Source organism: Homo sapiens, chromosome 1, assembly GCF_000001405.40.
Source record: "Homo sapiens chromosome 1, GRCh38.p14 Primary Assembly".
NCBI lineage: Eukaryota > Metazoa > Chordata > Mammalia > Primates > Hominidae > Homo > Homo sapiens.
The window spans coordinates 200,984,209-201,009,987 of NC_000001.11; the positions used below are offsets into that span (position 1 = coordinate 200,984,209).

General features: G+C 54.3%; 1 protein-coding gene across 7 annotated transcripts in view, besides 1 other annotated feature; it reads right to left on the reverse strand.

Annotated features, from left to right (window-relative positions):
• Positions 1-25,779, reverse strand: part of KIF21B (kinesin family member 21B) — a 54,325-nt gene that overhangs the window by 14,819 nt on the left and 13,727 nt on the right. For 4 of the 7 annotated variants that reach the window (NM_001252103.2, NM_017596.4, NM_001252102.2 and 1 more), the window contains exons 2-27: positions 25,058-25,280; positions 24,561-24,743; positions 21,337-21,486; positions 21,100-21,234; positions 20,558-20,725; positions 20,132-20,247; positions 19,378-19,573; positions 17,953-18,142; positions 16,509-16,572; positions 16,182-16,400; positions 15,675-15,756; positions 15,141-15,258; positions 14,176-14,367; positions 11,988-12,187; positions 8,074-8,181; positions 7,449-7,517; positions 6,709-6,941; positions 6,368-6,515; positions 5,930-6,124; positions 5,734-5,835; positions 4,558-4,723; positions 4,285-4,336; positions 4,088-4,145; positions 2,788-2,993; positions 2,636-2,710; positions 651-764 (exon numbers count right to left, since the gene is read on the reverse strand). In NM_001252103.2, coding sequence (NP_001239032.1) covers positions 651-764; positions 2,636-2,710; positions 2,788-2,993; positions 4,088-4,145; positions 4,285-4,336; positions 4,558-4,723; positions 5,734-5,835; positions 5,930-6,124; positions 6,368-6,515; positions 6,709-6,941; positions 7,449-7,517; positions 8,074-8,181; positions 11,988-12,187; positions 14,176-14,367; positions 15,141-15,258; positions 15,675-15,756; positions 16,182-16,400; positions 16,509-16,572; positions 17,953-18,142; positions 19,378-19,573; positions 20,132-20,247; positions 20,558-20,725; positions 21,100-21,234; positions 21,337-21,486; positions 24,561-24,743; positions 25,058-25,280 — 3,762 coding nt within the window. Of the gene's footprint in view, positions 1-650; positions 765-2,635; positions 2,711-2,787; positions 2,994-4,087; positions 4,146-4,284; positions 4,337-4,557; positions 4,724-5,733; positions 5,836-5,929; positions 6,125-6,367; positions 6,516-6,708; positions 6,942-7,448; positions 7,518-8,073; positions 8,182-11,987; positions 12,188-14,175; positions 14,368-15,140; positions 15,287-15,674; positions 15,757-16,181; positions 16,401-16,508; positions 16,573-17,952; positions 18,143-18,870; positions 18,964-19,377; positions 19,574-20,131; positions 20,248-20,557; positions 20,726-21,099; positions 21,235-21,336; positions 21,487-24,560; positions 24,744-25,057; positions 25,281-25,779 lie in introns of those variants that run through there. The other 3 variants (XM_017000731.2, XM_017000732.2, XM_047449818.1) reach the window with 3 other exon arrangements.
• Positions 15,894-16,394: an enhancer, noted in NCBI's record as "H3K4me1 hESC enhancer chr1:200969230-200969730 (GRCh37/hg19 assembly coordinates)". NCBI's record gives its function as "activates a minimal SCP1, AML or CMV promoter by ChIP-STARR-seq in naive H9 embryonic stem cells {active_cell/tissue: H9 hESC(naive)}" and the evidence as "EXISTENCE:reporter gene assay evidence [ECO:0000049][PMID:30033119]".

Here is a 25,779-nt window from a genome sequence, read left to right on the forward strand (position 1 = left end):
CTGGCTCCCTCTTTGAGCCTCATTTCCTCTTATGTGAAATAGGGAAGACAATTCTCGTGGTTGTTTCATAGCCTAATGAAATCACATATATGAAAGCAGGTTGTAAAGCACAGGGAGAAAGCCTGAATGCAGGGGAGGCTGTTAACATAAACCACACCATTAGGCAGTAGAGTCTTGCATCAGGAGCTGTGAATATAGGTGGACCTGAACCTGCCTGAGGAAGGCAATTTGGGGGTCTGGTCTCTTTCTGCTGGGAGAATGCACAGAGAGTGGAGTGGTTGAAGCTGAAGGAAGGGGCTTCAGAGCAGACTCAAAGCAGCAGCAGAGGTGGATTAAAGGGCAGCTCTGGAGAGCCCTCAGGCACCGGCCCCATGCGACCAGCCCACCTGACTGCCCGGCCCCAATCCCTGTGGCCTCCTTCTTGCCCTCTCCTGAGGTCCTGGCATTCTCAGGGGAGGAGAAGGGCCCATGGTTAGTACAGGAAGGAGAGAAATGCCAGGAGAGGGCATCAGGGCCTCAGCTCTTGGAGGGGCTGGAACTTCAGGCTGGGGTTGGCTTGGCCACCTGAGCCCTCCTCCAGCAAGGACCATCCACAGGCTCCCCATTGCCACCTCAGTGCCCTCCCCCACTTGCCCTCCAGCCCTGCTTACTTGTCCAGCGCTGACCCCTGGCTCTGATTACTGGTGAGACGAGAGAAGACATTGCGGTCATTGCGGGGCCGAGTGGGAGGGGATGATGGGGGTGTGAATCCCACATCTGTGGACCTGGTGAGTCGGGACAGAGGGCAGCCTGTTAGTGACCACCCCTGCCCACAGGCCCCTACTTGGTGCTGGGCTTCCACCTTCTGCCTTGTGAGGCCCGCAGGACAGGGTCTGCTGTGCAGTATTCTCAGAGCTCAACACCCAATGAAACTCCTGGATGCTGTCTTTAAACATCAATCCTCATCATTCACAGATTCCATATTTGGGAATTCACCTATTTATTAAAATGTATTTGTGGCCAGGTGCAGTGGCTCACATCTGTAATCTCAGTAAATTGAAAGGCCGAGGTGGGAGGATTGCTTGAACTTAGGAGTTTGAGACCAGCCTGGGCAACGTGGTGAGGCCTCAACTCTACAAAAAGTAAAAAAATTAGGCGGGCATGGTGGTGCATGCCTGTAGTCCCAGCTACTTGAGAGTCTAAGGTGGGAGGATCGCTTGAGCCTGGGAGGTGGAGATTGCAGTGAACCCTGATTGTGCCACTATACTCCAGCCTGGGTGATGAAGTAAGACCCTATCTCTAAAAAGAAAAAAATCCTCCTGCCTCCCAGCAAGGCAGGTGGCAAGAGGCCATCTTGAGCCCCTGCTTTCCCACTATTTAGCTGTGTGCCACCAAACCTCTTAATTAAGTGCATGGACCAGAAAACCCTGAAAGTCATCCTTCGATCTACAGAAGCTCTGTGGGCCTGGCCCACATGTGGGTGACCAGCTGGGGACTTCCCTGCCATTCTGCATTGATCTCTTTTTTCCTTTGAATTTCTTTCTTCTTTCTTTTCCTTCCTTCCTTCCTTTTCCCTCCCCCACTCCCCTCCCCTTCCCCCTCCCCTCCCCTCCCCTCCCCTCCCTTCCTTTCCCTTCCCTTCCCTTTTTTTTTTTTTCCTTTTCTTTTCTTTCTGAGACAGTGAGTCTCACACTGTCACCCAGGCTGGACTGCAATGGCGTGATCTCGGCCCACTGCAATCTCCACCTCCCAGGTTCATGCAATTCTCCTGCCTCAGCCTCCCAAGTAACTGGGATTACAGGTGCACACCACCACGCCCAGCCAATTTTTTTGTATTTCAGTAGAGACTGGGTTTCACTGTATTGCCCAGGCTGGTCTTGAACTCCTGAGCTCAGACAATCCACCTGCCTCAGCCTCCCAAAGTGCTAGGATTACTGGCGCCCGGCCTTTCCTTTAAATTTCTAATCTTCTCTCACACCATAAGGCCTTAAAAAGACCTGAAAGCTCCCCAGAACCTATGGTCATGAAAAGGGGCTGAAGCACATCAGTGCAATGACTAATCCAAGCCACTACAAAGCCACTTGTGTTGGGTGCACATCAGCAAACAGTTTCCAGCATCTGGCTCGGCTATGCAGTTTAAGGTGCGTTACAGAAATTACATTTCCTTTTTTTTTTCTTTTTTTTTTTTGAGACAGAGTCTCTCTCTGTTACCCAGGCTGCAGCGTAGTGGCACGATCTCAGCTCACTGCAATCTCTGCCTCCCAGGTTCGAACCATTCTAATGCCTCAGCCTCCCGAGTAGCTGGGAATACAGGCATGTGCCACTATGCCTGGCTAATTTTTATATTTTTAGTAGAGATGATGTTTCACCATATTGGCCAGGCTGGTCTCAAACTCCTGGGCTCAAGTGATCTGGCCATCTCAGCCTCCCAAAGTGCTGGGATTACAGGTGTGAGCCATCACGCCTGGCCCATTTCTTCAGTCCACACCTGACAGGGTGGGGAAGGGACCACTGGGTGAACCTGAATGGCTCAGTCAAGCTGGCCCAGGTTACACTGTGTACAAGATGATCAACAGAGCAGAACATCATAGCCACTCATGTAACCAAGAACTAGACTGGTGGTGACTCTGGAGCAGATTCTAGAACATGATCTCACCTAATGGGCTGCCCTCGGTCGTAGGACTTCCTTCTCGTCAGCGGGGACGTCTCTGTGGCTCGAGATTGCCTAGGGCTACAACAGAAGAGTCCAGTGAGGCCCAGACCCAACTCCACCTCCACTCCAACCCACATTCCTGCTCCCATCCTTACAAAGTGCTGCCCCGGGTAGGCAGACTGACGGTGCGCGAGACCCTGTCCCGGTAATAGGGGTCTCGGACAGAGAAGCCCACTCCGTCCTCTTTGATCTCAACGAGGGAGGCCAGGGACTTGGTGATGTTCTTGGTGGAGATATCCAGTGGGGGGCCCAGGCACTCAGCCGACACAGCTTTCATTTGGGCAGACAGTTTGGGCTCGCTCTGGGAAAAGAAGAACAGGGTGGATCAACTTGCCCAAATTGCATGGCACATAAAGGGGAGCCAGGGGAAATTCTATTTTTTTTTTTTTGAGACAGTGGTGCAAACATGGCTCACTGCAGCCTCAACTTCCTAGGCTCATGCGATCCCCTCACCTCAGCCTCCTCGAGCAGCTGAGACTACAGGCACGTGCCACCATAGCCGGATAATTAAAAATTTTTTTTCTGTAGAGATAGGGTCTCGCCATGTTGTCCAGGCTGGTCTTGAACTCCTGGGCTCACAAAATCCTCTTGCCTCAGACTCCCAAAGTGCTGGGATTACAGGCATGAGCCACCACACCCAGCCCGCCCGGAAATTCTAACAAGAGAAATGATGCCGTCTTGGCCTAAGGTAGAGGACCTGATGGAAGGACCCAGACAGACATCACCTGTGCTCCACAGCTAAACTCTTATGGTTTCTGGAGAATCCAGAGCAACTGAAATGGTTTCACGGCCCTTAGTTGGACTATGTAAACACAGAATGCCCAGCCTGACTTCTTTGCTGGTCACCAGCTAATCAGTTTACCTCAAAACTATGCATAATTTGCTATTCCCAGTCTGAAGCTTTTTCCCTCCTTGTCTCCTTAATAAACCCTGCATCTTGCTTCAGTCTAATGAAACTGATCCCTCATTATTAGGTAAACTTCCTTATTTTTGACTCCCATATGGTTGAATTGACTGTGTGCACGTAAGATAACCAGACATTTAGAGGTAGGTTTTGACTTAGAGTGTGAGGCAGAATCATGGGTGGGGGAAAGGGGATATTTTTGAAAGCAGGGCCCCTGGTTATGGTGCTGTTGCTAGCAGGGTGGCAACAGAGGCTAGCGGTGGCTCCAGCCACTTCTCCCACCTTCCACCCACCTCAGAAGGAATGGGCTGCAACAGGTTACATATCTGGACAACCCCCAATTCCAGACTAAATTTTCTTGGCACCTCCCTCCCAGCTGGGGACAACATTGTGTTGTGGCTGAGGGTGGAGCAGAGCCACAGTAAGCGGTGAACAGGCTGTGTGGAGGCTGGCCCTGCTGCACCCACTGCCTGACTTCCGGCGGGGCTCACCTTGAACTTGAAATCGTCATGGCTGGTGGAGCCTTTCATGGTGAATGACTGGGAGAAGCTGAGGAAGAAGCAGAGAGAGTTCAGGATCCTGAGGAGCCCCCAAATTCAGGCTCAGCCCTGGGACCTATGGCAACTCCTCCCACCAGCCCCAGGTACATGCTGTGAGCCAGCCTCTCACTCCCAGCTTGCAAACTCACCTGCCCTCAGAGAACTCTGAGATCTCCTCATCTGTGCTGGCGTAGCCATTCTCTGTGGGAGGGCGGGAGGGAGGGAAAGGGGTTGAGAAGCCCTGTCCAAGTGTCGGGGGAGGGATGATGGTCTCCCTCCTATATCTCACCCACTGGAATCAGACCAGGGCTCCTGGTGGGGGTTAGGGGTGGTTCTGGGGAAGTGAGGGCCTTGTGGGGGTCTGAGCCCAAGAGCACTGGAATGCCAAGGAGCTGGCAGCTTCCAACCGCCCCTACCCGTACCCTGCTGCACATTGTAGATGAGGGCCTGCAGCTCGGGGTGAGCTTCAGCCTTCTCACGCAGGGCGTCCAGGAGCAGATGGTTCTGGGAGGAGCCTGCCATATCCGTCTGCCTCAGTCGGCCCTCCAACAGCCGGATCTGGGCTTCCTTTTGTGCCACTTGCAGCCCCTGGGGGCAGGGAACAAAGCCTGGAGTTACCCCTCCTGGGGGTTGGGAGTCACCCATATCACACAACCTGCACCCCTCAAGACACCTTGGAGTGCTCCTTTCCAGCTCCCAACATCACCCTTGTACCTGGCACAGACCTGAGAGCACCGCCAGCCCCCTTAGCTCCCACATACACACATTAAGTGAAGGTCACCTTAGGACATACCCTATTATGGGCTAGGTTATGTCCCCCCAAAACTCATATTCATCTACAGCCAAGGAGAGAGGCCCCAGAAGAAACCAGCCCTGCCAACACCTTGACCTTGGACTTCCTGCCCTCTCTTGTTTGAGGCTCCCAGACTGGTACTTGGTTATGGCAGCCCTAGCAAACTCATAAAGTCCCCAGACACAAAGCGGAGCTGAGAGGAGCTCAGTGGGGCCCAGAGGAGGGGTCAGGCGGCAGAGTCTCCTGCCTCCTTCCAGAGTTACACAGATGCACACCATGTAGGGTCTGTCCCCAGAGACCACAGGCCCCAGGAGGGAAGGAGGCACATCCTCTGCTTAGCTCTCTGTCAAGGAGAGAGAAGAGGAGCCCAAGAAATGTCGAGGGACACCTGATGTTCTGGTGTAAACCCTCCTGGGTGGAATGTGGTCTGTCTGTAGTTCCCCTACCCCCACATACACACACTTCTCCCTCCACCTCCAGCAGACTCAAGCCTAGCACTGCTTTGGATAGGCTTGGGCCAGACACCCAGAGTCAACTTTAACAGAGGCCCTGTTGTGTGCCAGGTGCCAGGCCACGTCCCTTACACACAGCATCTCGTTAAAGCCATGCAACAAGCTACAAGCTTGGTATGGTCGTCCTCTCAGCTTTACAGCTGTGGCATGGGAGGTGCAGAGGTTAGGCGGCTTGTCCTAGCCTGTGAGTGACGCAGGTGAGGAGGCGCCAGGCCCCTGGGCTTCACACTAGGGTATATCACAGAGGCATCTGTGCCCATAGAGCCCCCTGCCCATGTACGCTCCCAGCTTACCTTGTCAATGGATGCCTTGAGGAAGTTGTCTAGCAGGAGGCGGGCTTCAGCCAGGGAGCAGGAGCTGATGACCACGGATGTGTCTGTGGAGTCCAGCTCCTCCTAGGACCGGGAGGCAGAGAGCCCCGTCACCTGGGGCTACCCCTGCCACCCATCTCTCCCGCCTCCGCCCCAGCAGGCCCAGCCCTGCGGATACCTTGGTCTCCTCCAGCTGCACGATGGTGGCCTGGCAGTCGGTGATGCCGTCATTGATGTAGTCAATGTTGGCTGCCAGCACCTCGATCTCCTCAGCCAGCTCCTGCAGCCCCTTCTCTTCCTCGGGGCTCTCAGCCTGCAGCCGCTCCCGCTTCCTCCGCAGTGCCTCCTGCAGGAGGAACAGCTCCTCCCTTTTCTGGGGTCAGAGGGGAGGGTGGTGATTGTGATGAAGGAGAGGCCTCAGGTAGCTGCCAAGCCCTGCCCATAGCTTCCACCACAGGCTGGCCTGTGAGGTCCCCCCAGCACCTCTGGATTCCAGAGCAGGCAAAAGGAGCAGAGGGAAGTGGGGCAGGGAAAGGTCTGAAGAGCCAGAGAAGTTGGAGGTGTCAGAGGACAGGCAGAGGGGTGGAATGGAAGAGAAGGGGGAGGCAGGGCTCACCTTGATGAGCCGCTCCATGTCAGCCTCCAGGTTGACAATGGTCATTCTCTGCATGACGATGTCAATGATCCGTCGCTCCAGGGACTGCCACTTGAGCCTTGCCGCCTTACTGAAGCTCTGGCTGGCCCCCTTCTTCTGGAACTTCTTTCTGGGAGACATAGGCAAAGGGGATTGGATGGGACTCCTTTTAACCTCTGCAGCTCCACTGAGCCCCCATCTGGAGCTGACAGCCACGGGGACCCGGAGCACTCCCCAGAGCTTCCCTCTTCCTCACCCTGGCCCTGCCCCATATTCCCACCCCCTCTGCCTGCACAGGCCAGGGGACTGCCAGTCCACCTTACCGGGCAGGACGGGTGCCATTGACAGTGGGCGCAGGATGGTCCCCCAAGAAGTGGTTGATTTTGCGGTTCCACTGGCGCACGATGCTGGAGACAGAGCGGGCCCCTGATTCAGCCTCAGATGAGGTAGTGCTGGCCGACACCTCAGCCCCAGAGTCCAGCATGGGTGGCTTTAGTCCTGCACGCCCTGCCACCCGCTCAGACATGGGCTTGGCCAGGCGCCTCAGTGCAGAAACCTGGGGCAGCAGGGAGAAAAGAGGGAGCCGGTGAGCAGGGTGGCCTGGAGCCACACAGAAGGGCCCAGGTTGGGGTGCCGGGCAGCAGGAACACAGAGGCTGCTCTGTGCTGGCCTGGGCTTGGGCTGCAAAAGGGCCAAGGGGTCTCTGTTTGATGTGACATGCACACAAAAGAGGCTGCCACCTTCTTTTTTTAACGCACAGCTCAGGCATTTGGGAACTGGCCTGCAGTCTGCCCTGCAGCCTGAGCTCTTGTTGAGAAAGGCCCTTCTAATAGGTTGGACACAATTTGGACACCAAATATGCTTGCTGAATGGAAGGAGGGAGAGCCAGGGCCACAGGCAGGGCTTGCTTCCCCTCCCTGCCGGCTCTGGCAGAACTGGGAAATACCGCCTTTATTCCACCGCCAGGAAGTTGGAGGCCCAAAAGAGAAGGCAAGCAATGCACACATGCACGCACACATGTGCAGCAGGGCCAGGGCCTCGCCAGCCCCTCGAGTGAGCTCACCTCCTGGGTCTTCCTCCTCAGGACCATCTCCTGCTGCCGCTTCTGGGACTCCAGAGCTCGGATCTGAAACTGTGGGAGACAGAAGAGGGCTGGGCTCCACACTCAGGCACCTTAGCCCTCTCTGTCTGTGTACAGGCTGGCTAGCCCTGTAGTTGAAAGCCTGGGCTTCAGGGTGATTCTCATGCAGCCAAACTCTTGATAAAGTGGGACCCAGGGTTGAGCTCCCCTCCCCAGAGGTTGCAGTGAAAACTGCTTTCTCCACAAGGGCAATTTCCTTAGCCTCTTCTTCCCTCCAGTGAGGAGGAATCCTGGAGCGGAGGGCTCAGCCCTACTGGGGCTTCTCTGCAGGGCCTGAAGCTGCACATTTCCAGCTTGCTGGTCACCTTGGGCAAGTTCCTTCCCCTCTCCAGGGCTCAAGTCCCTCCTCTTAACATGTGGGGGCTGGACCAGAAGCCACAGGGTCTCATCTTGCTCTGACAGGCTGTACTGTCCTCCAAGCATGACCATTACCACTTAGGACAGTGGAGACTGAGGCCCGCTTGGTCAGGAGGGGCAGCCAGGTGCACCAGGAGGCTGGGAGTGCTAGGGCCAAAGGCTCCTGGGAGGCTCAAGGGCCACCCCTCACCTCCTGTCGCCGCTGCTCCTTCTTGAGCTGTGCGATCTCCCGGTTCCTCTTGGTCTCCACTAGCCGCCGCCGCTGTTGCTCCTCACGCATCTGCTTCATCAGGGCCACCTGGGATGGGCAGAGATTATGGTGGTGAGACAGGGCTGGGAGGCAGGTGGCCCACACTCTCCAGGGAGGGGCCAGCTCTGAGGGCATGGGGCAGGGATAGTGGCTAGCCAGGCAACACTGGCTCAGGGCCTGGGGGTCTGAAGTGAGGGGTTCTACCTCCCACTCCTCCATAGGAGCTTAAGCCGCCTGGGCAAGCTGCCAAAAGGAGTGGCCTCACAGCCAGCCCAGCAGTGCAGGTGCCCCACTCTGCAGGGCCCAACTGTGGCCCTTGCTGCTTGGAATGCCACAGCCCCTGGTGGCCCTCACCCACAGCCACTGTCCTGTGTCTGGCCATTCCAGAAACAGTCTGGGTTGCTGGAGGCAGGTAATCCTCTCCCCTGCTGAAGGCTGAGCTGCAGACAGGGCTGAGGTGAAGATCAGGGCCCTCATGGCCAGGCTCACAGTGACAGCAATAAAAACCACCATTATTTACTGAGACCCAGCTGTATGCCAGGCACCCTCCTCATGACAATCATGAGAGAGGCATTATCGTTCCTGTTTTACAAACAAGGAAATGAGCCTCAGAGAGACAAAAGGACTTAAAGTCATAAAACTAGTAATGGATGGCCATATTCCGAAAACAAATCATCGCCTCCCAGTCAGCTCTTCCTGCAGCCCCAGGGATGGCTCCGTGGTAGGTCAGCAAAGCTAAGGACCAAGCACAGAGAACCTGGACCCCAGAGTTGTTGGAAATGTAGCCAAAGGCACAGAAAGCACCATTAGTGCGGCCGGAGGCGACCCAATGTGCTGGGAAGCCACTGACCTCGGGCCCTGCGGCATCTGCCTCCCTATTCCTGGTGCCCAGAACATAGAAGTGTAATGTACACAGGGCTTTGGACACCTTCCAAGTGACAGGGGCATAAGGAACACATGACAGTTGATCCTTCCTCTGGTCACCTTGGGCAAGTTCCTTCCCCTCTCCAGGGCTCAAGTCCCTCCTCTTAACATGTGGGGGCTGGACCAGAAGCCTCGAACATCACCAGGAATGTCATCAACCTGTCCTGCCCTCAAAACAGTCAAGAAAGGAAACAGGCCGAGCGCGGTGGCTCACACCTGTAATCCCAGCACTGGCACTTTGGAGGCTAAGGTGGAAGGAATGCTTGATTCTAGGAGTTCAAGATCAGCCTGGGCAACATAGTGAGACTCTGTCTCCAACAAAAATAATACAAAAACTAGCCCGGTGTGGTGGTGTGTGCCCATAGTCCCACCTACTCAGGAGGCTGAGGTAGGAGGATTACTTAAGCCCAGGAGGTTGAGGCTGCAATGAGCTGTGTTAGCGCCACTGCACTCCAGCCAGGGCAACAGAGCAAGACTCTGCCTTTAAAACAAAACAAAACAAAAAAAAAAAAAAAGAGAGAGAAAGAAAAACGAAATGGCATGAGGGAGTGGGCTAATGGCCAGCAGGGTCAGCTTCTTTCTGGGAGGGTGGGAGGGCAGGCAGGCTCTGTTGGGGTGAATCTGCAGAGAAGAGGAGGGATTGCTTGCTGCTGGGGCTTTGGGGTCCAGAATGAGTGTTCTCCCAAAGGACTGGAAGAACAAGTCAGACCCTCGGCTAAAAGTGGACCTGAAAACTCCAGCATCCCAGGAGCTGTGTGCAAACCCAAGGTGTCAGGTGTCTTCCGGGGTCAGGGGCTTAAGGCTTCCTGGGGAGGTGCTATGTCTTCCTGGTCAAAGACTCATCCACCCGACTTTGCATGTGTAGCCAAGCACCATGGTGGCTACCACAGAGGCAAAGGTCTCAGAACAGGTGAGCACATTCCAGGCACATGACAAGCGGAAACATGCCACGGTACCCGAGACCAGCATCACTTCGCAGGTTTAAGGTAGAAGGCATTGTGGCCTCTCCCTGGGAGACCCCGTGGCTGCAGGCCCCACCCCAGTTCCATTCTGTGAATCGCTGGGGCCCTGTAGCTGAACAGCCATGGGAGGATTCTGGGGCACTGGCTCTCACAGTGTCTGATTTGAATCCTCGGCTGCTGCACCTTCTGTCCCTCCAACAGAAAACCTAGGCCCCTCCTGGGATGACCCAAGGGTGTTCCTCTCTGCTTCTAGCTCTGGGTTCATAAGAACACTGTCAATGTGGACAGAGCCAGGCACGTGGCTGAAGGAGCTCAGCAATCCAGAGACTGAAACACAGGTCTACACATGAGCCTTCTGTCAGATGCATCTTGGCGTTACATTATTTGCCAGGCTTCAGAGCCATACAAGGATCTTCCCTCATGAGGCTCTCCAGGGCCTCCGCAGCTGAGATGTGAGCTGGCCAGGACACGATGGGGTACCCTGCAATGGCATCAGCTGGGAACTCCCAGGGAGACAGAGTGGGGACGCACATAAGCGCACCCCAGAAGCTGCAACAGCATGTGCAGGCCCCTGTTGGGAGTGCTGCTCCACCCCAGAGATAATGAAGGCCCACCAGCCCCTCCCTCTAAACCATCAGTGGGTGCAGGGGCCCTTGGGTGATCTGGGTACTTGAGTCCACACTTGAGTCTCAACACCCCACAGGGTGAACGCACTGAAGGAGATGGTGCAAACAGGGCTCCTTGGGGCCAGCCCAGGCCAAGCAGGTCTGAGCACAGCAAGGCAGGGACTTCTCCACTCTAGTCAGGTTGATGAAGCCTCCGGACCTGCAGCCCAGGCTTGGGCACAGAGCCTGCCCAGGTGAGGTGGCTGGGCCTCAATGACAGCTATGGGTCCACCACCTCTTCTCAGAATCTACATCAGCCACCACTGCATTGCCTCTCTCCTCTGCACATTGAGTCGGCTGTGAGCATGTAGCTACCAATGGCTGCTAGATGCCCCATCAGCCCCAGGCACTGGGGAGCTCCCCTTTCCTATGTCTCTGTCCCCAAGGCCAGCCCTTCACAGCTTACTGGGGCTGCCACCAGTGCCCAGGGCCTAGCCCAGGGCTGTGGGGATCTGGGCTCCACTGAGGGCTGAGGATCAGAGCAGGCAGGAATGTAGGACTTGGAAGGTCCAAGGGGAGGGAGGACTGAAAGGGAGCATGGATCTGCTGAGCCCCAGACAGGAGCCAGAACACACCAGACACTGGAAACACAAGACTTGAGCCCTGAAGTCAGAAGCACAGGGGCAGGCCCCAGGCCCCAGAGACTAGAGCACTCTGAGTGGTGGCAAAGTAGAAAAGGGAGGCATTGTGCCACCTGGAACACACAGTGGCTTGGGAGCCAGAGAACTGAGTTCAAATCCCAGTGCTACCTCTTGGAAGCTGGAATTAACTTCTCTGAGCCTCACTTTCTCATACATAAAAGAATAATAATAGACTTCTTTCAAGAGGTTCTTCTAAGGACTGAATGTGATCATGCGTGTGAGATGACTAGCCTGGAGCCTGGCCATAGTAAATGTTCAAACGATGGTAACTGTTACTATTATCACTCAGGGCCAGGTTGCACCAAATGAGAGGCCTCATGTGCACTTTGCGCAGACCCGAAGCGAGTATGCTGCAGCCTCCCCAACAGGAGGCAGCACCAAGTGGGGTCCCCTGAAATCCTCACCTGCCCTGAACACGACCCCTGTGCACCCCAGCATCCCCGCACACTGGCCCCACTACTGGGCAGGGTGTTTCACCTTGGACGATGCACTCAGCTAAGAGGACCGTGTCAAGGGCCAAGACAGGGTCAAACTAGGTTAATGCTGTGTGTTGAGAAGAGAATCCACACTTGACAGCAATGATTATTTTTACGATGGTGAGTGGATTCTAAGAAGATGTCACAGGCACTCCAGGCCCCACTCCTCACACCCTCGGCCCCTACCTTGGCCTTCTTCATCTCAGCCACCTCGGCCTGTAGCTTCTTCAGCTCCCTCTCGTAGCGCGACTGGTTCTTAAGCAGCCGGGCGTGCTCTTTCTGGGCGGCCTGCAGCTTCTGCAGGTCCCGGTTCATCTCCCGCAGCCTCTTCTCATAGTCTGCCTTGATCTTGTTGGCCTTCTCCTCAGTATAGCACTCCATGGTGCCTGAGAGCAAGGAGACGCAGCTGTCGGTGCTGGGTCCCTAAGGGCTCCCACTAAATACAGGGTCATCAAGGGGGAACGCAGGAACCCTCTGTTCCAGTCTCATTGTATGACCTTGGGCAAGTCACACCCCTCTCTGAGCCTGTTTCATCATTTGAATGAGGGGGTCAGACTAGTTGATGCCCAAGGCCCCTTCCTGCTCTGACATCCTATTGTAATGGGCAGGGGTGTTTTCATCTTAAGATCTCTGAACCCCTGGTCCCCAACTTCCCACGAGGGTCCTGTAACTCACTCATGCTGGCTGGGTTCTGACCCATGATCCAGTGTTGGAGGAAAGAGCTGGGGCCTGTGGGAAGGGGAAGAGTTTGCAAGAGAAGACAGAATGGTGTGGGCCAGGGCAGAAGGAATAAGCTGATTCTCCACTCTTGGCCTCTCCTACCAGAACTACCAACAGACATCTCCAACTTAACAGGTACAAAACCCAACTCCTCATTTCTACCCCTCTCCCATCTCAGTACACAGCATCACGCTCCTTCCAGAAGCTCACACCCTGAGGCATCCTTGGCTCCCCTCTCCCTCACATCTACCTCCCAGCAAGCAATCAACAAAGCCTTCTGGCTCAACCTGAAAAACATATCCAGAATCTGACTTCTCACCACCTCCTAAGCCACCTCTCCTGGGATCTTTAGAACAGTTTCCTAAGTGGTCTCCAGCTTCCACTTTCACTCCCCCATGCAGCAGCCAGAGTAGTCTTTTAAAAATGCTTTTAAATTTGGTATCACGTAGCTCTCTTGAAACTCCACACATCCCGTCTCCCTCAGAGTATAAGGCAATGTCCTTACAATGACATTTCTTCTCCGACCTGTCCCCTCTCACTGTGCTCTAACCATCCTGGTCCCCTTATCGTTCTGCCAAAATGCCAGGCACATGGCACCCTTATGGCCTTGGCATCTCCTGTTCCCTCTGTCTGGGACGCTCTTCCCCTGGTTGGTGCTGCTCTAGCACTATCAACTCCTTCAAGTCTTTGCTCAGTGAAGTCTTCACGACCATCCTTTAAAAAACTCCAATTCGGCCAGGCACGGTGGCTCATGCCTGTAATCCCAGCACTTTGGGAGGCCAAGGAAGGCGGATCACAAGGTCAGGAGTTCAAGACCAGCCTGGCCAATATAGTGAAACCCTGTCTCTACTAAAAATACAAAAATTAGCCGGGCGTGGTGGCGGGCGCTTGTAGTCCCAGCTACTCAGGAGGCTGAGGCAGGAGAATCGATTGAACCGGGGGTCAGAGGTTGCAGTTAGCCGAGATCACGCCACTGCACTCCAGCCTGGACAACAGAGAGAGATTTTTGATTTGTTTTGTCTCAAAACAAAACAAAACAAAACTCCAACTCACTCTTCAGTAGTTCCTGTTCCCCTTCCTGGCTATACTTATCACCATTTGACACACTATAGTTTCTGCTCTTTCGTTTATGTTTGTCTTTCCCCACTAGAATGTATGCTGCACGAGAGCAGGGATTCTGTCCACTCCAATATCTCTAGCACTAGAACAATGTCTGCTCTGTAAGACATATTCAACATGTGTTTGCTGAATAAGTAAATCAATGAATGAATAAAAAATGGAATGAATGGGCTGAAGAGCAGCATAATGAAGATAGAATGTAAGAACGGTTACAAACAGGTCCAAAGGAAAAGACCCAAGGAACTGAGTGCAGGAGGAAAGGCTGGGAGTGTCATGTTCGCGTGCCTAGGTATATAAAGAATTCTAATACATGACGTGATAGCAAAGAAAAAAAATCAATTTACAATGTTTCATAGGAACTAGGGTTAGACGTAAGAACCTTTAACTGTGGGTCAAAGGACCACAGTCAAAGGTTGGGAAGTCCCTTGCCTAGAAGGCCAGGATAACCCCAACACACCAGCTGCTTTTGACAGAGGAGGGGCTCAGGGAAAAGGGAGGGTCCGGATGGGGTGGAGGGGCATGGCGGTGGCCTCACTGAGGTTCTGCAGCACACGGTCGCGCTCCAGCTGTGTGTCTCGGATCTTGTTCTGCAGCAGAATCAGCTTTTCCTCATACTGGTGCTTGAGCGTCTGCAACCGCCGCTGGCTGTTCTCCAGCTCGTCGATCAGCTTCTGCTTGATTTCGATCTCACAAGTCAGGTCGGCCAGGTCCGCCTGGAAGTTCACCTCTATGGGGGCACAATCAGGCTCAGCCCAGCGTTAGGGCGAGGGGCAAATTGGGGAGCAGATGTGCCAGTGCTGGGGAGCTGGGACCCTCCTTTGGTCAGCCATGACCAATCAGTGACCAGAGACTGGGCAAAATGATAAATCCTAATGCAGGTAGAATGCGGCCAGAAGGAGGAACACATTTAAAGAGCAGTTCCAGAAAGGCAAGGTAGGGCTCAGGAGCTGGCAGGGGGGATCTACACGTCCTTCCCAGCCATTCGAGGCCAGCATCCACCTGTTCCAGATGACATGGGACCAGCTTCAGTGGAGGAGGGTGAGATGGCTGAGAGCAACTTACAGGGCTAGGGCCAGGGCTGGCAGCAGGCAGGGCTGAAGGGGCAGGCATCTCCATTTAGAGGAGAGGGCTTTGGCACCAGTCAGGCCTACATTCATGTTTGCTCTGCATGGACCACACTGGGGAAGGTCACTAAACCCCTGTGAGCTTGTTCCTCTGTGGTGATATAGGGAAGCTCACCACCCCTATGCATACAGTTGCAGTGAAGACTGAAAGAACCTAGCCGCTCAAAGGGTTAAGGTAAGCACAGTGCCTGGCACCTAATGAACGACCAGGAAGTGTTTGCCATCATTCTCATCATGACTGCCTGTTGTCATTGGTTTCACGTCTGGGAGTGCTGGGGCCTGGACACCATTATCTTTGAGCAGGGCCCGACCCCACACTTGGGCACTGGCAGCCAGGCATTGCATCCCCCACAGCCCACAGCTCAGGCCCACGCACCCTTCTCCTCGGGGTCTGAGTCTGAGTCCACCAGGCTCTCTTCACTGCCCGAGTCCTCATCTTCATCCTCGCGCCCTTCCTCCTCCTCACAGCCACTCTCGTCTCGCTCTTCCTCCTCCTGGGCACCAGGCACCATTGGGGTGGGCCTGGCCTCAGAGAGGGGAGCCCAGAAGCAGAGGTGCATCCCGACACAATGCCTCAGGTGTGTCAGGAGGGTGGGGATTGGGGCAGGCCACAGCTGAGCCCCCCTGCCCACCCCCTACTCCTGGAAGAGTGCCGCCTCCCCCAACACCACCGCAGAACCCCTCTAGGAGGGCCTCCCCACCTGCATCATCCGTTTGGGATGAGGTGGGGTCCTAGGGGATGGAGATCACCATGGTAACCAGTCAGAGATATAAGGAAGTACAAGGATCAACTGGATGCAGACCCAACCGCCTCCTTCACTCCATACAAGGATGCGGATGGGGCCCCCGCCAACCCCAGCAGGGACACAAGGCATGCATGTGGTGAGGTGGGGCGGCCCGTGCTCCTCACCTCCTCCGCCTCGTTCTCATCCGTCTCCTCGCTGTTCTCCTGTTGGAGTTTTGCCCTCTTTTTGAAGGCTTCCTTCTCGGGGCTGCTCAGGGAGGACAGGGAAGCTGGATTAGGAAGGCTGCCCCTGCCCTGAGCACATGGGCAGGACGGCGGCAGCGGCAGAAAAGGAAGGCTCTCACCAGAGGCCGGGGAGAGCACTGGCTCCTACTCTGCAGAGAACCCCACTGCTCTTCCCTAGGGCCACCCAGAGCTGACCTTGGCTCAGCTCAGTCCTTCCTCTCCTTGGGGGAAAGCAGATGGCATAGGAGAACGTGGGGGAGGGAGGTTGCCCAAAAGGCTGAGCAAATCTGCGCCATGAATTCCCAAGCAATACTGAGGCAGCCCCTGGGGCTGGGGGCGTGGAGGTTCCCTCCTAAACACTGGTGGGCAGCAGTCCTCCTTGGGGACGGGCAGGGTCCACTGGGGCGGTCTGAGGGCTCTCAGGGGCGGGGACGACACTCCACTCACCTCTTCCTCCGCTGCCTGACCTCCTTCTTCTTTAGCCGCTCCAGGTCCTGCTTGGCCCTGCGGATCACCTCCGAGGCATCCTCCATGGAGCTGGCAGGGCTGCCCCCGAAGGCCGGGGCGGCTGGAGAAGCACCCAGGGAGTAGGGGCTCCTAGCCGAGGCCCGTGAGAGGCTGCGGCGCAGGGACTCGTTCATGGCTTCACTCTCTAGAAGCTTAGTCCTGCACAGGAAGAACGAGTGGACGGGGCCGAGTGAGCTGCCACAGCCCTTGGCGTCACCTGGCCGAGGCCCCCAGCCCGCGCACACCTGCCGGAGCTCACTCACTCACCGTAGCTCCTCGATCTCCCGGATGTAGTTCTGGATCAGCGCACCAATGGCCTCATTGCCATCGCCTGGAGTGGGACGGCGGGAAGAAGGGTGCGATAAAGAAGATAAATAGGCCAGCGCGGTGGCTCAGACCTATAATTCCAGCACTTTGGGAGGCCAAGGCGGGCGGATCACCTGAGGCTGGGAGTTCGAGACTAGCCTGACCAACATGGAGAAACCCCGTCTCTACTAAAAATACAAAATTAGCCGGGCGTGGTGGCGCATGCCTCTAATCCCAGCTACTCGGGACGCTGAGGCAGGAGAATCGCTTGAACCTGGGAGGTGGAGGTTGCGGTGAGCCAAGATCACACCATTGCACTCCAGCCTGGGCAACAAGAGCGAAACTCCGTCTCAGAAAAAAAAAAAAAAAAAAGATAAATAGCAGCAAGGGTCTTCAACACCACTGATACTACTGCTCTTATATCTGTGCCTCTAATAGGGCAGCTCATATGGGCCTTTTCCAAAAAGAAATCTATAGAAAAAATACTTTGCACAGAGGTATACAAGCACTGTTGGCAATAGCAAGAAACTGGAAACAACCTAAATGCCCATCACTAGAAGGCTACTATAATAAATTTATTCATCATTGTCACATATGGGACACCATGGCAGAAGATGAAGAGAAGTAGGTTTTTTTAAATTTTTATTTTTTGGTTAGAGCCAAGGTCTTGCTCTGTCGCCCAGGCTAGAGTCACAGCTGACTGCAGCCTCAGCCTCCCGGGCTCAGGCAATCCTTCCATCTCAGCCTCCCAAGTAACATGAACTACAGGCATGTGCCACCACATCTGGCTAATTTTTGTATTTTTTGTAGAGACTAGGCGTCCCTATGTTGCCCAGGCTGGTCTCAAACTCCTGGGTTCAAGTGATTCTCCTGCCGTGGCCTCCCAAAGTGCTGGGATTACAGGCGTGAACCAGAAGTAGGTTTAATATGGAAAGATTTATAAAACATAATGCTAAATGAAAAAGGGAAGTCTTAGAGCAATATATATAATCTCATACATAGAAAAAGTAGTCTATATCATACACACATTTAAGAATGTATATGAATACATATTCATACTTGAAACAAATACTGAGAAAGGTGTGGGAAAATACACACCAAGCTGCTCATAGAGGTTCCTTCTGAGAAGTAGAGAGGGCTTGGGGTGGAGGGTTCAGGGAGAGGCGATTTTAATCTTTCACTTCATATAGTGATGTATTGTTTGCATGTTGAACAAGAAGGATGTGTTCATGTATTACTTGTGCCATACAAAAATGTTTTAAAATCAAGTGAAAAAAAATGCATAAATGAGTTGAACTATGAATTGACTGGCTGGCTTAGTCCACCTGATACTCTGGGGTGGATGTCGGGGGAGGGAGTCCTAGCCCGTTGGTGCTCTGACCTGGCCTGGCACAGCCCAACTCACCGGCCTTGGCTAGCAGCAGGTTGGCCTCCTGGCTCATGAGCTGGGTGACGCGGTTGTTGATGGCATCGATGGCCTCCTGCATGGCTTTCACCCGCAGCCGCAGGGCCCCATTCTCCTTCTGTAGCATGGCATTCTCTCGGAACAGATCACTATAGCCCTCAGCGCCATCCTCTCCTATCACTCGCTTGCCCTGGGAGCAGGGGCAAAGGGGAGCAGTCAGGCAGCAGAGCTCGCGGTTGGGGGGGTAAGGGGCTGATGATGCCCCTCCCTCTGCCAGCGCCCTGGCCTTCCCCTGGATATGGCGCATCACCAGTCTCCCCTGCCCCAGGTTTCCTAAAACACAGCTACTGGCCCCCAGTGATCAAAAACCTTACACAGTTCTCCTTGACAATAAAAAGTCCAAATTTTGTAACCAGCCACTGAAGGCCTCTCACAATCTTACTTGACCTAACTTTCCACAGTGTATTTTCATATCTCCATAAAGTCTAGTCCAAGGGTCAAAACCCTCTCTGCCAGGCAGTTGGCATAAATGAGTCAGGCTGGTTGTAAGACAATAGGGAGTGGTAGAGACTGGAACTAAGAGAGTCCCAGACTCAGTCTAGAAGGGGCAGCCCCTATGCCTCTCCAGCCAACTTGGTACCATGAGTTGTTAGATCTTGAAAATTTTCTAGCAAAACTGAAACTCCCTGATTTTCAGAAAGGTTGACAACTACGTTGTATTCTTTTAAAACAAGTGCAAGCCAAACCTAAACTCATCCATGTGCCAGATTTGGGCCATGGGCTACCAATTGGTGACTTCTGTCTTAGTCACATAGAATTAGACATTTACCCCAAAGGACCCATTTTTTCCCACTCTGTTCCTTTGTGCATGGCTTGTTCTTTACCTAGAATGGCTGTCCCATCTCATTTTGCTGTTACCTCATTCATTCTTCAAAATCCATATAAAAGGCCCCTTTTTCCATGAGGCCCTCTCTGACCATCCATGCAAGTAAGGCCAACTCTCTCCTCTGCCCCTCTGCAGCACACTGGATACTCCTGTGGGCCCCTCTATCAACGATTCTGTGCCAGTCTAGCAGTCTTACCTGTTCCAACACAACACATTCAGCAGATATGAAAACACCCTGGAGAGTGTCTGCCCTGTGCACAAGATCTATGCAACAAAAGCTGGGGAGCCCTTCTTTCTTGGACTTAGTATTCTAAAATCTTGAGGGCTCAGACTATGCTTGATTCACATGGGTGAGTCCCTAATAGTAAGCAGCATGCCTGGCACACAACTGATGCTCAAGAGTCATGTCCAAAGTGGATGATGGTAATAGGGAGGTGGGAGGGATGCTGAGGAAGTTAGGGTGAGGCTGCAGGGCAGAGGGTGCATATGGAGCACTAGCTCCAAGGGGAGTGCTGGGCAATGCCCAGGAGCATGCTCACCGCCTTATACTCCATCAGCTCCATCTGCAGCCGAGCAATCTCAGCCCGCAGTGCACTGATTTGCTGGCTGGTCTTGTCCTGGTTCACTACCACCTTGTTCTTGATGTTGCGGGCCCGATTGGCATATTTGAGTGTGTTGAGGGTCTCCATGAAATCTCGGTCTGAGGGGCTCACACAGGCGATCATGATGGTCTGGCTGGGGGTGCAGAAAGGCTGTTGTGAGGGTGAGGGACACAGCCAGCCCCCAGAAGCATTGCCTCAGGGTAGAGGTCCTGCTCCCATCCCATTCCCCCACTACCTTAATGCCCAAAGCACGTGGGCATTCAGGACAGAACCTGGGATGTGGGGAGCTGGACCATCTGGCCAGGAGTTTTCACTGCAACAGCAGGTAACCATAGTAAAGGCAGCTACCAAGGCTGGGGAGGTGGTGATGCATAATTGCCAGAGTCCTTTGCTTGGTGATGAGGATGAGTTACAGCCCTGCATTTTCTAGCATTTCCCATCTATCATCTCGTCTGGGTCATATGACTTCCCTTAGAATGTCTCTCTCTGTTTTACTGATAAGGAAACTGAGTCTGGCCATAGCTGCCTGAAGGTCATAAAGCACCTCAAGGTTCCTACCTCCTAAACCTGCAGCCTAGGATGGGAAGGCCTCCTCCTCCTGGGGCAGGCTTGCGCCATACCCACACAGCACTATTTTCCAGGAACCTCCCTGCCTCCCCTGTCCCTTCCCTGGGTGTTGGTCACCAGATACCTGTTGCCCCCCAGCGAATCCTGGAGGAGCCGAGTGAGCTTGGAGTCCCTGTAGGGAACGTGCACCACCTTCTTGCTCTGGTCCCCTAAGGCGCTGATCACATTGCCCAAGGCCAGCTGTGGGAGACAGACCCTGGCACTCAGCAGTCACTCAGGGAGCGAAGGGTAGGGAGGGACAAGAAAATCCCCAACCCATCTGTACCTGCCTCTTTGGCCCCAGCAGCCCTCTTGCTCCTTGGGTGGGTTTATAGGCACATGGATAAGTTGGTGAAATGGGGAAGCTGGGGACAGGGGTGACGCCTGAGAGTGAAGGGCTAATTGGCAAGATGTCCAAGGAGGACTCAGCAGGTGTAGGACTGCAGGGCCTTGGAGGGGTCTGAGACTGAGCTGTGTGGGTGCTGGGGCTGATGACCCACCATGTGCCTACCAGGCCACAGTTGATGGAGATGCCCTCCTTGGCCCGCTCGCCAGTAGCCCCTGTCCGCTTCAGCCGCTCTGAGCCGGCCAGGTCCACAAAGTGAAACTTAGCAGTGAGTGTCTCATACTCACTCGAGGGAGGTGTACCATCAGGAAGCCCAGTCACCGCCTCATTCACCTGCAGCAGAAGTCAGCTCTGACTCACCCAGCCCTCGCCCACCTCACTGGCTCCCCTGATCACAGTACTGCCATCCGGGAGAGGCACGGTGGACGGCCAAGCGCCTTGCCCTTCGCACATGCAGAGCATCTGACAATGTGCACAGTATTTGCACAAGCCTGATTTCCATTTAATCCTCACAACACCACGATACAGAGATCATTAAGCCATTTTACAAATTGGGCAACAAGGCTCAAGAAAAATATAAAAATCAACAAATGGCAGAGGCCAGCCTCAATCTGGTTTGCTATTTCTGAATCTGTGGCTCCTCATCTTGCCCTTCCCGGGATACCCCTGCAGCAAGCTGGCTCCTGGGCCCCCTGCAGGCTCCTCACCAGGTCGGGCTGGGTGCACATGCGCATCTGGCACAGGTGGATGGTGAAGATGGCGTGGGAGCGTGAGCTCTGCACGTTCATCTGGGTGCTGGCTGTGGTGCGGGACAGGGCCCCCTGCTTCAGGCACTGGATCAGCTGGAAACAGAAGCAGAAGTGAGGGCTTGGGACTACCGTGGTGCCAGCCCCTGCCCTTTCAGGATGCCCTGGACCTGCTCCAGACCTCCAGCAGAGGCTCACCTCCTCCTGGGAGTGGATGAGGCGAGAAGTGACGCCAGTGGTGTAGATGCCACCGTTTGCGTCCTCGTGGATCTTGATGTTGGACCTGCGGTGGCGGGTGTCAGGGTCACGGGTGCTGTCAAACAGGTCAAGGATCTCCTCGTTGTAGAGCTGTGCAGGAAGGAAACAGCTGAATTCATAGGGCATTCACTGGGGCCCCAGGTGGCTGCCACATGCCTATAAACCATATCTGTTTTACAGATGTGGAAACTGAGGCTGTGGGTCCCCTCTGGGTTTTGAATCCCATGACCTTTCTGCAGGACAGGGGCAGGAGACAGCTGGGCCCTGGGCAGAACTAGCTGGAGGCTGCACACTGTTCCTCATTCCCTAAGGAACCAGCAGCCAGCAGCTCGGTCCCAGCATGGGCTGAGGACCAAAAGAGGACAAAGGGACACGGGTCCCAGATGTAGGAGATAAGGAAGATGTGGCCACAATTTGAGAAGATCCTGTCGTATTCCTGGACTTGGAAAGAGTAGATGGGGATGTGATTCCAGATGAGGCAGGGCAGAGACAGAGCTCAGTGGAGACCAGGGGAGCTGTGCCCTAGCCCTGACTGTCTCTGAGGTGACGACAAGCTCTCGAAGGGGAGGAACACGCCTGTGTGCCTTGCCCTATGCTTGGCAGCGGGTGGGCATGGAGAGCACGCCACTGTGGCCTAGTGTCCTGGAGAGGGCCTGGTGAGACCATCGTGGGGAGGGGGCCTGGCCAGGAGCAGTCACCCCATTTCAGGTGGTCTCAGCCAAGGAGATTCCTGTGTTTGGAACTGCTGGCATGGAAAGTGTCACCTGCTGAAGAGCTGGGATGTTCAACAGGCAGGGAACTAGGGCTGGGGAGTGGAATAAGGGATGGGGGCAGCTAGGGCAGCAGCCAAGAAAATGCTGTGGGACTAAGGGGGAGACTGCAGCCCTCTGACATCTGGGGCTTTGACAGCCCTAAAGGGACAGAAATACCCCACATGAATGGGGAAGAGGAGATGGAAAGGATGGTGCAGATGGGGGCCTACAATATCTGTCTGTCTGTCTGTGTTGGGGTAGACACACACTATCATTTGACCTCTTGTGGTTCACCCTATGGAACTGATTTTCTAGGAACCTGCTCTTCCGGGCTTCTCCATGGCAACAGGATAGGGAAGGGACAAAAACAAAGAGATGTGAGAGAGAAGCTTATTGAGATCACAAGCAGCAGGACACAGACACAGACACGAACACAGACACACACACAGAGACACCCACATAAAGACACAGAGATACACAGACACAGACACAGAGACACACAGACACACACACACACAGACACAGAGACACATAGACACACACACACAGAGACAGACACACACAGACACACACACACAGAGACAGACACACACAGACACACACACACAGACACCCACTCACAGACACAGAGATACACAGACACGGACACAGAGACACACAGACACACACACACACAGACACAGAGACACATAGACACACACACACACAGACACACACAGACACACACACACAGAGACAGACACACACAGACACACACACGCAGACACCCACACACAGACACAGAGATACACAGACACGGACACAGAGACACACAGACACACACACAGACACAGAGACACACAGACACACACACACACAGAGACAGACACACACAGACACACACACACAGAGACAGACACACACAGACACACACACGCAGACACCCACACACAGACACAGAGATACACAGACACGGACACAGAGACACACAGACACACACACAGACACAGAGACACATAGACACACACACACACACAGAGACAGAGACACACAGACACACACACGCAGACACCCACACACACAGAGATACACAGACACGGACACAGAGACACACAAACATACACACACACAGACACAGAGACACATAGACACACACACAGAGACAGACACAGACATACACACACAGAGACACACAGACACACACACAGACACCCACACACAAACACAGAGACACACACACAGACACACACATAGACACAGAGACACACACAGAGATACACACACACAGACACAGACAGGCACACACACACACACACAGACGCGCACACAGAGACACATAGACACACGCACAGACACACACAGACAGATGCGCACACAGACACATAGACACACATACACACACACACATACACAGATGCACTCACACAGATGCACACATACAAAGATGCGCACACAGACACATAGACACACACATAGACACACAAGACACAGAGCCACACACAGACATACAGACAGATGACACACACACACAGATACAAACACACAGTCATACACACATAGGCAGTCCATTTATCAGAAGCGAAAGTCCAGAGGGGCAAAGAAAACCTCCAAATTCTAAAATGCAGGATACCCTGCAGGGCAAGCCACCACCTGTGTGCCCAGGAGGGAGTAGCTGTGTTGTGGTAGGCAGGGGCTGGGGTTGGGGAAGGCCTGGAGAGGGCCAAAGCCACATGCTTCCCTCAGAAGGCAACCTGGACACAATCAGAGCAGCAGGGTTTATGGGATAAGTGCCCTTACTGAGTGGGGGCTCAGCATAGGCCCAATGGTCAAGAGCACAGAGACCCCCTGCTCCCCACTAAAAGCCCCTCCCTGGCTGCCACAGTCTGGGCCTGATATTCTCCCAGAGACAGGAAGGGCCAGGTGCACAGAAAGACCTTTCCTAGAGGACCTTTCTGCCCTGGGGTCAGAGAAGACTCAGGGGGCCAGGAAGCATCTGAGCCAGAAAGGGGCAGGATAGGATGCCCTGAGGCTGAGGGGGAACCCAGAGAAGGCCAGAAGGAAGGGAGAGAGCCAGGGTTCTCACAAAACCCTAAGGAAACAGGTACCACCCCATTTTGCAGATGAGGCTCAGTGTGGTAAATGACTAGCCCAAGGTCACAAGGCTAATCAGTGTCAGAGCTAGAACACGTCAGGGTGTGAAGGGATCATACAGTCATCAACTCAAGCTCCATCTGATGCAGGAACCCCTTTTGAGTGTCCCACCAAGTAGTCCTCCAGCCCTTGCTTGGATTCTTTCAATAGCAGGGAACTCATCACCTGGAGATGCCCCCATGGTTCCCAGGACTCATTCCACTGCACTGGAGGAAGGCCCGGCTTCCATGGTCCTGTTGTCCACCAAGCCTCCCACCTGCCCACCCTATGGGGCCACAGTACCTCCAGAAACTGGGCGCTGACTTTGAACTCAGGTCCAGCCACGCCCTGCTCCTGTGCCCGGCGCTTGCGCTCGGCAATGCCCCCAAAGAGGTGTGCGATGGCCCTCGGGATGATGCCCTGCTCCTCCTCCGACGTTGCCATGTCAAAGCCAGTGCCCATGGTGTACGTCTTCCCGGCCCCCGTCTGCATTGGCAAAGATAGGAGGGTGTAACCCTGCACCCTTTGGGGGCACCAGCAAGCCCTGTACCTGGGCCAAATCCCCTTAGCTCATCTACCTCCCAGCCCGGTTCCCCTGCTGCTTTCTTGGTCCTGAAGCCACACTCTGGGGAAATCACTGACAGCCCTCCCTCTGCTAACCAGCGGTGCAACGGCCTCCTTAGACAATAGACAAAACCCTGAGGCTATGTTTCAGCTGCTCTGAAGGTGGAGCTTTCTCTCCATTGGATGCAGGGAGACCAAGGCTGGAGCCGCCATAGGTGGGCGTGAAGATGGCTTACCTGCCCATAGGCCAGCACCGTGGCATTATAGCCCTCGAAGCAGCCCTCGATGAGCTTGCTCACACAGGTGGAATAGATCTGTTCTTGCCAGGTGTCCAGGTCGAAGACAAAGTCATAGGTGAAGGCCTTGTCCTTCCCCAGCAGGACCTGGGGCTCTCCCGGGGTAACAGAGGTACAGATGTGACAGCCCTCAATCTTCTCCTTCGACAGCTGGGGCCGGATCCTGCCCATGATGGAGAGAGCCCTGGGTCAGGCCCAGCTAGAAGGGGGCTGCCACAGGCCCCTCCCTCACACTGCCTGCCAAGCTGCCACTTCCCCCATGAGCCAGAGGAAAAGGAAGGAAGCTTAGGTGACCCCAGAGGACATGGGCAACTTTTGTAATACAATAGTAATAACAGTATCAACATCATCAAAACAGCAGTTGTTAACATTTATTGAGCATTCAGTATATATCAGATCTGTGTTCAGAGTACTTTCCTTAAATTAATTCACGCATTCTTCACTATAAACTTGTGAGGTACCTATTATTTGCCTAATTTTACAGATGAGAAAACTGAAGCTGAGAGAGTTTAAATGACCCTGCCCAAGGGTGTATAATGGAAAGTGATGGCGCCATGTCCAGGTCTGTCTGACATAAAAGCACGTACTCCTGATTGGACCAGAAGCCCTAGAAATCAGCATCTCGTCAGGGGAGAGAAGGCGGCTTGTCCACTGCTGGGGAG